Source organism: Homo sapiens, chromosome 4 (genome assembly GCF_000001405.40).
Source record: "Homo sapiens chromosome 4, GRCh38.p14 Primary Assembly".
Classification (NCBI taxonomy): domain Eukaryota; kingdom Metazoa; phylum Chordata; class Mammalia; order Primates; family Hominidae; genus Homo; species Homo sapiens.
In genome coordinates this window covers 161,578,610-161,590,955 of record NC_000004.12, presented here as the reverse complement: position 1 = coordinate 161,590,955, position 12,346 = coordinate 161,578,610, and the positions used below count along the sequence as shown (strand labels likewise).

Genomic DNA, 12,346 nt, shown 5'->3' with positions numbered 1-12,346 from the left:
CAATAGTATACAGCTATGCACATTTGCATACAGTTAGTATTAGACATGTTTTCAGTTCTTTGGGGTAGTACATAATGAATTGCTAGTCCTAAGTAACTTAGTTTAGCTTTTTGAGGAGTGGCCAAACTGTTATCCAAAGCAGAGGCACCATTTAATCTTCTCACTAGCAATGTGTGAAGGTTCCAAACTTTCCACATCCTCTCCAACACTTGCAATTGTCTCTTTTTTATTTTAACCAATGTAGAGCATATGAAGTAGTATCTCACTGAGGTTTTTATTTGCATATCCTTAGTGACTAGTAATGCTGAACATGCTTTTATGTGCTTATTGTTCATTTGTAAATCCTTTGAGAAATGTTCATTTGAATCCTCTACCCATTATTTTAATCAGACTATTTGTTTTGTTTTGTTTTGTTTTGAGATGGAGTCTCACTCTGTCACCCAGGCTGGAGTGCAGTGGCACGATTTCGGCTCACTGCAACCTCCACCTCTCGGGTTCAAGCAATTCTCGTGCCTCAGCCTGCTGAGTAGCTGGGATTACAGGCATGTGCCACCATGCCCAGCTAATTTTTGTATTTTTAGTAGAGACGGGGTTTCCTCATGTTGGCCGGGCTGGTCTCAAACTCTTGACCTCGGGTGATCTGCCCGCCTTGGCCCCCAAAGTGTTGGGATTACAGGTGTGAGCTACCATGCCCAGCCTATTTGCTTTTTGATTGTTGAATTGTAATTACTCTTTATGTATTCTGAATAGAAGATCCTTATCAGATAAATTTTCTTCAAATATTTCCTCTCCTCTATAGGGTATCTCTTTACTTTCTTGATGTCTTTTGAGCAGCAAAAGATTTTAATATTTATGAAGTTGAATTTACCTATTTTTCTTTGGTATGTTGTATGTGGCTGTTGGGATTCACTCTTAGTGGTGAGCTAATGATTGAACAGGGATTTAATTAAATGCCTTGCATCAGTAAGTCTCCCAGGCTTTGTTGAGGTTTCCTATCTCTGTTTTGTGTTACGGTATGAGTGTTCCTATATAGTTCACAACTCTGTCTTAGCCTTCAATTTCTGCTTGTGTAGAGTCTTATGTGCAGCTAGAGATGAGATAATAGGGATTCACACATCTCTGCTGAGCATTCACACAGTCCTGCACGTTTGTGTGGCCTTCTAGACTCCTAGGAATATATGGAACTCTTCAAACTTCTCTACGGAGAGCCCATTCCTCAGGTTTATCTTGTAAGGTTTTTTAGTCAAACTGTTGCTCTCTACAACTAGTATCTCTGTTGCAGAAAGTTGTAATGCGAAACAACTGCTGTTGTTTCCTGATTTCAATAAAGACTCTAGGGGGCAGGTATGGTGGCTGATTCCTGTAATCCCAGCACCTTGGGTGGCTGAAGCAGGAGGGTCACTTGAGGCCAGGAGTTTGAGATCAGCATGGCCAACATAGTGAAAACCTGTCTCTGCTAAAAATACAAAAATTAGCTGGGCGTAGTGGCTCATGCCTGTAATCTCAGCACTTGGGGAGGCTGAGGCGGCCGGATCACCTGAGGTCAGGAGTTCGAGACCAGCCTGGCGAACATGGTAAAACCTGTTTCTACTAAAAATACAAAAAATTAGCAGGGCGTGGTGGCACAAGCCTGTAGCACCTGTAATCCCAGCTACTCAGGAGGCTGAGGCAGGAGAATCACTGGAACCCAGGAAGCAGATGTTGCAGTGAGACGAGGTCATGCCATTGCACTTCAGCTTGGACAACAAGAGTGAAACTCCATCTCAAAAAACAAACAAACAAACAAACAAAAACCAACAATTAACTGGGTGTGATGGAGTGCTCCTGTGGTCCCAGCTACTCAGGTGGCTGAGGCAGAAGAATTGATTGAACCCGGGAGGCAGAGATTGCAGTGAGCCAAGATCATGTCACTGAACTCCAGAGCCTGGGAACCCTGCCTCAAAAAAAAAAAAAAAAAACATTAGGGATAGGGCTCTTTACACAGAGTGAACTTTAAGTGTTGCTCAAAGCTCAACTAAAAAGAAGTCATGAAAATGTATGTTCTCGAGGAGCTGCTAATCTATCCAACAGGTACAATTCTCTCAGGATAAGGTCTTGGAGGAGCTTCAGACCTGCTCTTTCCCTTCCAGTGTCTTCTAGAATGATGATTTTCATAGCTGGCATAGTTTTAAGGAGGCTGGTTCAAGGCCACCATGCAGCTGTGGAGAGCTGTTGAGGAAGTAAAGTTAAAATGCCACATAAATTTTGCCATTCTTACTAAGAGTCAGCCACTTTTTGAATAAATACTCTGTGGGCTATTGTGAACCTTTCTCTATTTCCAGAATTCTGAAAAAAATTGATTTTGGCAATTTTTGCCAGAATAGTCATTACCATAATGGAAGAGAAAATTTTCTGGTCTTTGCTATTCTGGAGGTGCTTCATGGATTTGATTTTAACGGTGCAAGTTTTTTTCTTCCTTTCTTTTTTTTCAAAATGGTTATGCATTTATCTCCACTATTTTGAAGTGGTATGGTTATTGTATTCAAATGTGTTGATGGTATCTGGGCTTGGAAAATAAATGCTATTCTATGTTATGGCTATAAATGTTATCACTGAGATCACACTGCTTTAATAATTATTTTTATTGGTAAATATATAATTAAATAATATACAAGTAGTAGATAACTACCAATGTGAAGAATGCAGTTAACAGGTATTTGTTTTAGCCATAAATAAGAAGAAAACACATTATAGCTATGCTAATCTTTTTTTATTTTTTAATTTGTAATTATTTATTTATTTAGAGACAGAGTCTCACTCTGTCACCCAGGCTGGAGTGCAGTGGCACGTTCTCAAGTCACTGCAACCCCTGCCTCCCAGTTTCAAGCAATTGTCCTGCCTCAGCCTCTGGAGTAACTGGGACTACAGGTGTGTGCCACCACACACAGCTAATTTACGTATTTTTAGTAGAGACATGACTTCACCATTTTGGCCAGGCTGGTCTTGAACTCCTGACATCAAGTGATCCACCTGCCTCGGCCTCTCAAAGTGCTGGGATTACAGGTGTGAGCCACCGTGCCTGGCCTGTTCTAATCTTAAAAATGGGAACTAAATTAGAACACATATGTGGAAATTAAGTTACTTTATATATTAAACATGCATTTCAAATAAATATTAAAAAGCTATATTTATGAGTGATATGATGCTTTTTAAACAAAACATATTGTTAGAAAATTATAATTACAGATCCTTTACGCTTATACACCCAACAATGCTCATTTTGATAATTTTAAAACAATATTTGAGTCTATTTGTTTTGTACCTGAATACACCTTTTAAAAATTGAAATTGTTACAATTAATTCAAAATGCAAACACCTTGTTTTATTTTATTTTTAATAGGACTTTGGAGATGATGGGTCCTTGTATATTACTAAGGTTACCACAACTCACGTTGGCAATTACACCTGCTATGCAGATGGCTATGAACAAGTCTATCAGACTCACATCTTCCAAGTGAATGGTAAGAAGTGATTTTTGTTACCCTAACTATTCAAAGAACACCATAGTTTACTAGGAAGTGAAGCCTTCAATTTTTTGAGTTTTTACAAGGTACTAATAATATTTCAAGTTTTGAGACTCAACTGATAATGTAAAAGTTTTTTAAGTAAAAAAAAAAAACACAAAATTTCCAAGTAAATAAGCACTATAAATTAGTACTATTTTTGTTATAAAATATTAGAGTAACTCATTTTAATTGGAAAATTAGAACACAAGAAATTTACATTATTTTTTCGTTTAGAATATTAACAATTAGGCAAGCATAAATTTTAGAAACAAAAATTTTAAGCAGATCATCTATTTAATTGATTGTTTTAATGATATAGACTACTGTTATTCATGTATAGCAAGTTTTATACTCTTGATGGTTAATTTAATGTCTACCTATGAATGTTGACCAGGTGGGCTGATATCACTCCTACAATCAGAGCTTTTCTTTATTCTTGATTTAATTCAAATTTTAGTTATTTACTAGCATTAATACAGGATTACACATATGACTGATTAGTAAATATTTCATTTCCATAATTTATTGTAACATATATTTTAATATACTCTGATTTATGAAAAGGAGGCAGAAACTTACATGGCTTTCTGTAGGAACAGCAAGATGGCTAGTGTGATGGGCATGAATTTAGAGGAGAGTGGCAGATAATGAGCTTGCAGAGGTAGCCTTGGGGCAGATCACATGGAGCCCTGTAGACTCAGGTAAATATTTGGATTTCCATTCTAAGTGTAAGGGGAAGCTGTCAAAGTGTTTAGTATACAGAGTAGCACATTCTGATTTATTTTAAAATAAATGAATAGTTTAAAGACTATTTTAGTGTCCAAGTAAGAGATAGTGGTAGCTTAAAATATAGTCTTAATGGTGGAGTTATAAAGAAGTGGTCACATTTGGAATATATTTTAAAAGTACTTCTGTCAGTATCACTGAGGAATAGCATGTGAGTGTGAGAGAGAGTTAAAAAATGATGCTAAGGAATTTGAAGGAAACAGGTATATGGGTGTGCCATTTACTACTTTGAAGAAGGAACACATTTTGAGATTGGATGAGATTAAATTTTAGCATGTTAACTTAAATATAATTATATTATCGATGAAAATGTCAAGTATTCAATTGAGGAACATGAAAGCCCAAAGTTGTATGTTCAGATAATATCAATATGTATACATTGCATTGAAAGTCATAAATCTGAGCTTAATTAGGTCACTTTAGAAATAAATATAAATGGATATGAAGTCAGAGGATTGAGCCTTGGATCTGAGGTTAACAAGTGGAGAACACTGAGAAGGAGGACCCTGTGATGAGAAGTACGTGTACTGGAAATCAATTAATAACATGTGCCAAAAAGTTTGAAAATATTGGGTAATCTGATTTGACTATTGTTGACGCTCCAGGGGAGCAGATCTAGTTCTTGGTTTCTGGTGAAAATACAGTTGGTATCTAGACATAATCAAGTCTTTGAATCCAACTTTCAATGAAACCAGGGAAGAAAGCAGGCGAGATGCAAAGTTGATTCATGGTGTTTCCAGTGGCCTCAGCTGTTTGGAGATGGACTTTCATATATAAAGTAATTGTACCTGCTGATACACAATCTTGAGAGGGTAGGACAAGTCTGTGCTGAGGATGCTCGTCCCTATAGGTAAATGCTGCATCCATGGGGAAATTGTTCTTGCATGTCTGGTCCTCACCCTCTAGGTAAATGCAGCATCCATGGGGAAATTGTTCTTGCACGTCTGGTCCTCACCTTCTATTTTGTGGTAAATGCTTACTGACTGTTTGCCTATTCAACAAGATTAATGCCCTGCCTTTTTTTTTTTTTTTTTTTAGCATTAGGGAGAGAATGTCTCCAATTTCATTTTTGGCTAGCAATTAATTCTGTCTTTTATCTCTTATCCTCATTCCCAGTCCTAGATCTTCCATGTAAGAGTTCTTAGTAGTTTTTAGAGTGTATGGTGCATGTTCTCCACCTGCATCAGAATCACATAAAAGAAAAGATCACAAGTGCAGAACCCTGGACTTCACCAGCACTCTCAGGAATTCTGACTTGAAATTTGCATTTTGAAAAGCTTCTCAGGAAATTGTGATGCGTGGTAAAGTGTGACAACTATTCTAAACGGCTGCTCTTCAGGAGCTGCTGCTCTTCATTCATGTCTGATGTAGGTTTCTTACATAACTTACTCATTTGCCATGCTCCAGCTGGGAAACCCATGAAGGAGACTTTGAGCCAAACTGCCGGCTTTATGTTGCAAGGTTGCATTGAGCAGCGCTGGTGAAAGGCGGCTTCCCTGTTTCATCCCCTCCCATGAATGAACTGCTTACTCTCTGATCTCGGGTTTTTCTGAAGATGGAATATGGAAATAAAGAAATAATGAGGTCTCAGAAACAGAGTGCTCCCCATCAGCCTTAGCATTATGAATTAATCAAGAGGAATTCAATATTAGCAGTGATTGCTTGTGCTGAACTCTAATGCTTTTCCTTTTCGAGGTACAAGGGTCCCTGAACCGATATCTCACAGGGAGCAAAACCAGTTTCTTTCCATTATGTCCCATAACATTTAAATTGCTCTGACTATCTTGGTATAAAGATTTTCAGGAAGGGATGGGGTTTGGAGAGAAAACCAATGATATTATCATTGCTGAGAAGGCAAACAAGATGAGGAGTATAATTTAAGCACTAGATTTCAGTACTTGTGTGCAATTATTAACCTTTCCAAGACCAGCTTTTGCCAAGTATTGGTAATAAAACTATGATTATAGTCAATTCAAGAGAGAAAGGAAAGTGAAAAAATCAAGAACACTTCTATCATTAACTCTTTTAAAGGAGAACATTTGCTGAAAGTAAAGAGAGAACTTTGCAGTAGCTGCAAAGCACCTGCATTCAAGGGAGTGAATTTTATAAAAGTTACAGATATGATCATCTTTTATGCTGATGGGAATAATCCAGTAAAGATTAAAAGCAGATAATTTATAAGACCAAAAGGATAATTATAGTAACAAATCAATTAAATTTAAAATTGATGTGATCTAATTCACAGAAGGACGGACTGATCTTTGGAAGATGAATAGTCCCTGTGTTGAAACAGAGAGAAAGACAGACTGTTTGGGAAAAGATTCACAGTGTAGGAGCATGAGGACGTCCTTTTTGCATTACGTAAAGTTTCTTCAGGGAAATGAATAATACCATTGGTTGAAAGTGAAGAGTTTGTAATAGCTTTAGTGGTTTGAGGAGGGGAAGACATGTCGAATAATTATCTTGCAATGCAGGAGGGCAATTGAAATAATAATATGTAGTTGGTGTGTTGGGGAAAGCTTGGAGTATTCATGAAGTATGTTTTCCTTCTGTTGTGGTTGACTGTAAAGTGGCCATGAGAGAAAAAAAGATTCTGATTTAGCTAGTGTTTTGTTTGTCAGGTGAGTAAGTAGGGGAATAGTTAGGAGAGAAGAAGTTAAATAAGTTTACAAGGGAGTGATTACAGTGGACTACAGACTAAGTGTGAGATAAGGACACAAGAGAGGACATGATAAATGTGACATGAAAATGGACTGGTGTTCCCAAGGATCAAATATTACTAGAATGAGGTACTAGAGAGGAAGATATGCAATACCTCAAAGCATTTTCTCAAAGCAGCTGGCAATTTCAGTTTCTAAAAAAAATGTTTCTAGTTAGGTCAAGTCTATATAAAGGACTCTGTGGACCACTAAGGTTTGCTAGGGTTTTAAGCAGCCCAAATGTCCTAATCTAATTTGCCAGTTCTAGTCTTAACCACAAGGAAAAATAAGGTATAAAATAACACTGATTTATCAAAATTCAACTATCATTGGTCAAAAATTTGTTCTACTGCATTTATATCAACAAGGGAAGGCAAAAAGTGTGTTTCAAAGTTCATTTTATATTTAACAGTGAGGGATTAACTATTAACTGCTATAATACAGACCCAAAAGGACAGGGGCTCAAAGGAGATACAGTGTATTCTTCTAACACAGAAAATAAGACAAGATAGGGCGGTTTGGGGATGGCAGATCTATAATGTCATCAATATCATAAGCTTCCTCTATTATGATTAGCACACAGTTTCTACCCTCAGTCTCATCCTGTGACTTCAAAATGGCTGTGGAAATTCTGTAGACCTTTCAACAGGGAAACAGGAAGAGGGAGGAAGGGGAAAATGACACCTGACACATGAGAAAGAACTTTTATTTATTTATTTATTTTGAGACGGAGTCTTTCTCTGTTGCCCAGGCTGGAGTGCAGTGGCGCCATCTTGGCTCCCTGCAACCTCCGCCCCCTGGGTTCAAGCAATTCTCTGCCTCAGCCTCCCCAGTAGCTGGGATTACAGGTGCCCGCCACCACGCCTGGCTACTTTTTTTATTTTATTTTATTTTTTATTTTTAGTAGAGACAGGTTTCACCATCTTAGCCAGGCTAGTCTTGAACTGCTGACCTCGTGATTCACCCGCTTCAGCCTCCCAAAGTGCTGGGATTACAGGCATGAGCCACCACACCCGGCTGAGACAGAACTTTTTAAAAAAGTTTTAATGAAAGCACCAGTGATAACTTCCACTGATCCTCCCTAAATGCAAAGACATGGCACAATATATTTCTCTGACTGTGACGTATTGCCACCCACAACAATATAAAGATTATGTTAACTAGAAGAAAGGGGAAAATAAATATCAAGTAGGTAACTAGCCACCTTATTTGCAAAGTTTCTGATGTATCAAAATATTTTGCCAAACAAAAAATAGAATAATGACACTTTATAATAACATATCTAGAAATGGTGGGGTAAGTTACAAAACCACAGCCCTAAAATTGGTACTGTCTCTTTTTTAGTGTGTTCCTCTCCTTTGGTTTTATGGTGTTTTGTACTTGGCATAAGAACTTTAAACGCATGTTTTTTATGTCAAGAAGTATAACAAACTTGGGATTACTCAAGTGTTGTAAGTCAACAACAACAAACAGTAGTTGGGAACGAGGAACAATACTGGATAAAAATACAACAAAAATGCGAGAAAATGCAAATTATCTACCAAATAGCACATTTATGGAATTCAACAAATCTCTAAAACTGGTTTAACTCATCTTATATTTTTCATTCACTTTTAGAAAAAGTTAAAAAGAACTTTAGAAAATCAGGCTTTCAGAATTTAAAATATTTATCTTAACAATTTGTCAATTCATAATAAAAACAAAATATGTCATTGATTACCATAACAAGCCCGGAAAATACCACAAGTTACTGGAATTTGTAAAAGAGTCTTTTTGAAGTTCAAAGTCTGTTTAAATATCCTAGAGCATAAGCCAAATAAAAGTCTATCTATAGCCCTGTTCCTTTTCAAACAATGCAAATTAGATATTGAAATATGAGAGTGCTTCTGTGCCATTGTCTGAAGAAACATTATGTATAAATCAAAGTAGCTTGACTCTACCAGGGGATTTCATTTCATGCTTTTCTTTCTCTTTTTACATAAAGCAAATCGTCTTTAGATCTTATGATACAGAATGTTTGAAATTTTTAAAAGTCATCATTGTTTACACGCCCCTCTGGGCAGAAAGCTTGTCCATATTCACAGTGAAACTATATGTACACTGTTACTTCTCTCCCATTCAAATTATTTAAGCCCTCATACATAATATTGTGCGGATGTGTTTTCTACTGAAATAAGAAAACTTCTGCATAAAGTGGTTGTTGTTTGTTGGTTTTACCAGATGTCTATATAAAACACCCTGATTTTTCTCCTTCAAAGTTTGGAAACATCTGTACGAAAGACACAAAAGCCAGATATACAGATACAAAGCATGACCTTCATTACTGACAGAGCTATTATTTAGAAAACCCAGCTTAAGTCTGGGGCAACAATAGCTTTCTTTCTTGCATCATGTAATTCAGCTTCCTCATTTGGTCATAGGGAACACTGGAATCTCTGCACTGGGTGTGGTAAACCGTCCTAGCTAAACTTGGCCAGACTGCAGAGAGATCTAGAAAGTGAGACAGTGAGATCTACAAAGCAGGAAGAGGTCTCCTTCACCCTCTCTTCTCCTCCCACTGTGAGTTAATAAATGAGAGAGTGAGAAGCTAGAGGGTTACCCTAGCTCAGTGATTGTCAAACTGTGGTTCATGCACAAGGAGCAACAGCGACATGTTTTAAAGGCAAATTCTCAGGTCTCATCTGTGGCTACAAATCAGAAGCTCTAAGTAGGGCATAGAACAATGTGTGTTCTAACAAACCTTCTGGTAATTCTGGAGATAAGCTTTGAGAACTACAGTTTCCCTCCTAAAAAGATGACAGGTGGGAATATGTTTCCCTTCTTCATATTCTTCAACTCTTTATTCTTTTAATTTTGATTTAAAACTTTCAGTTGATTGTCATCTAGGAGATTGGCTCTTGCTTGGGGGGTGGTATTGGCCATGTATCATTTCAGGCTTTTGCCTCATGAGGCCCCACAGCAGACAGTATTCATGTCTTGCTCCATAGCCCACACAGGCCTCCTCATCTATGGTGAATATCCCTTGATAACTACTTACTGCCAAAGCTTGTCTCTCTGCCACTGTTCCTTAAGATTTTACTTATTAGTTAGTTTAGTGCAAAAGTAATTGCTTTTTTTGCACTTACTTTTAATGGCAAAACCACAATTACTTTTGCCCCAATCTAACTGCCCAAGAATCTTTATCAACTACACTCAAGGAAGCCCTAATATGCCAGGGAGTTGATGTCCTTAGGAATCATCATTAACCAATGAGGGACACAAATCAGTGGGTAAGAAGCACAGCTACCCACTCACTCAATGGGAAGCTCCTGAGGGGCATTCAACATTGTTCAAGGGGTCCACACTAGAATCCATTCCTTTTTTTCCATAGTTATGAATCTCATGAATGCATCCCCCTTCTTCTTTGAACTTTTATTGTAGTTTTCCTTTCATTGTCTAACTTTTCCCATTTTTACACTTGTCCCTCCTGGGATCACTTGTCAAATCAAAACTAGTTGAACCTAGGGTCTTTTCTCAGAGCTGCTTTTGGAGATATTCATATTTTAAATAAATTTAAAGTTCTTCACTTAATAACAATTGCTGCTCTATTGTAGCTTCCCCTAAGAATTACTAGTGGGCACTATGTTTGTTTACAGAAGACTTTGAACTATAATAAAACAGTACAAAAATTCGTTAACTTCAAAGCCTCAAAATTCCCTCTATATACTGTTTCTCATGTCAAATTATGTTCAGTTACACTGTTCAATAGAGTTCTTCAGAGGCTCTGTGATTAAATTAAATCATGACGTCAAGATGCTTCAATTATTGAATAGCAAGAATATAGACATGTTCAAAAATTAATATATAAATGTTCTAATTATTAAATTCTGAGAGAAATAAAACTGAAGAGATTAAAGTTCCAAAAAATTAGTCCAAAGTAATTAATATCCAAAATTAAATTCTTCTGCCCTTATAATTTAAAGTCTAAAGAAAGTCCAAAAGTTTAAACTACATGCAAAGTCCAAAGAACCAAGTTTTTCCCTGATTCTTTATTATGGTCACTTTCAGGGAAAGAAGTCCTTGAAAATGTATGACTTTGGGGTAACTTAAACATTTGTATCCTGGGCTTATTCTCACTGGGTTTTGCAATCCATTTTCAAATGATCACATCCATTTTTTTTTCTTTTTTTCTTTTTCTTTCTTTTTTTTTTTTTGTTTGTTTTTGTTTTTTGAAATGGTCTTGCGCCATCGCCCAGGCTGGAGTGCAATGGCACGATCTTGGCTCACTGCAACCTCTGCCTCCCAGGTTCAAGCAATTCTCCTGTTTCAGCCTCCCAAGTAGCTGCAATCACAGGTGCCTGCCACCATGCCCAGCTAATTTTTATATTTTAATGGAGAGGGGGTTTCACCATGTTGGCCAGGTTGGTCTCAAACCCCTGACCTCAGGTGATATGCCCACCTCGGCTTCCCAAAGTGCTGGGATTACAAGTGTGAGCCACCGTGCCCAGCCTCATTCATTCTTTATTCAATATTTCCTTTTTTGTACTGACTTCTGGTGTACTCCATAACATTTAGAATTCCATTTTATCTCTACTACTGACTTATTAGTTATATCTTTTTTTAAAATTTTTGTCAGATATTGCTATAAGCCACACATACGATATGAAACTTAACATATTGTCATGTATTTTTAAATAATGTTTTACTACTTCATGTATAAAGAACCTTAAAACAGCATGCCTTGATCTCTGCCATTTTCATCCTTTGTAATAATATTATCAAACATTTAACTTCTACGTATGTTATAAAACACACAGTATATTGTTCCATTTTTGCTTTAAAAGTTACATATCTTTCAGAGAGGTTTTTAAAATTAGGCAAGAGAACAAAACATTTGCATTTCTGATCCTCCTCATTTTTTCATGTAAAACTGAATTTCTGAATTTTCATTTACTCTAATAAACATGCTTTAATAATTTGAAGTTCAGGTCTGCTCCTGATACATTTTCTTGGCCATTGTTTGTATGAAGATATTTTTACTTTTTTTTAAATTAAATAATATTTCTGTTGGATATTAAATTCTAAGTAGGCAGTTTTTGGTTTTTATTTTTCTTTCAACAATTTATAGATGTTCTATTGTCTTCTGGGTTGCTCTTGCATGGTTTCTAACAGGACATCTGCTGTATTTCTAGTATTTCTAGTCTCTTTTTTTCATTTATCTGACTGCTTTTAAGAGTTTCTCTTTATCATTGGGTATCAGCAATTTATATATGGTAAGCCTTGGTTTGCTTTTCTTTACTTGGATTTTTATTCTGCTAGAGATAACTCAGCTACTT

General features: G+C 36.7%; 1 protein-coding gene across 4 annotated transcripts in view; it reads left to right on the top strand.

Annotated features, from left to right (window-relative positions):
- Positions 1-12,346, top strand: part of FSTL5 (follistatin like 5) — a 780,104-nt gene that overhangs the window by 573,045 nt on the left and 194,713 nt on the right. For all 4 annotated transcript variants that reach the window (NM_001128428.3, NM_001128427.3, XM_011532126.1 and 1 more), the window contains exon 8: positions 3,381-3,501. In NM_001128428.3, the coding sequence (NP_001121900.1) occupies positions 3,381-3,501 (121 nt within the window). The remainder of the gene's footprint in view (positions 1-3,380; positions 3,502-12,346) is intronic.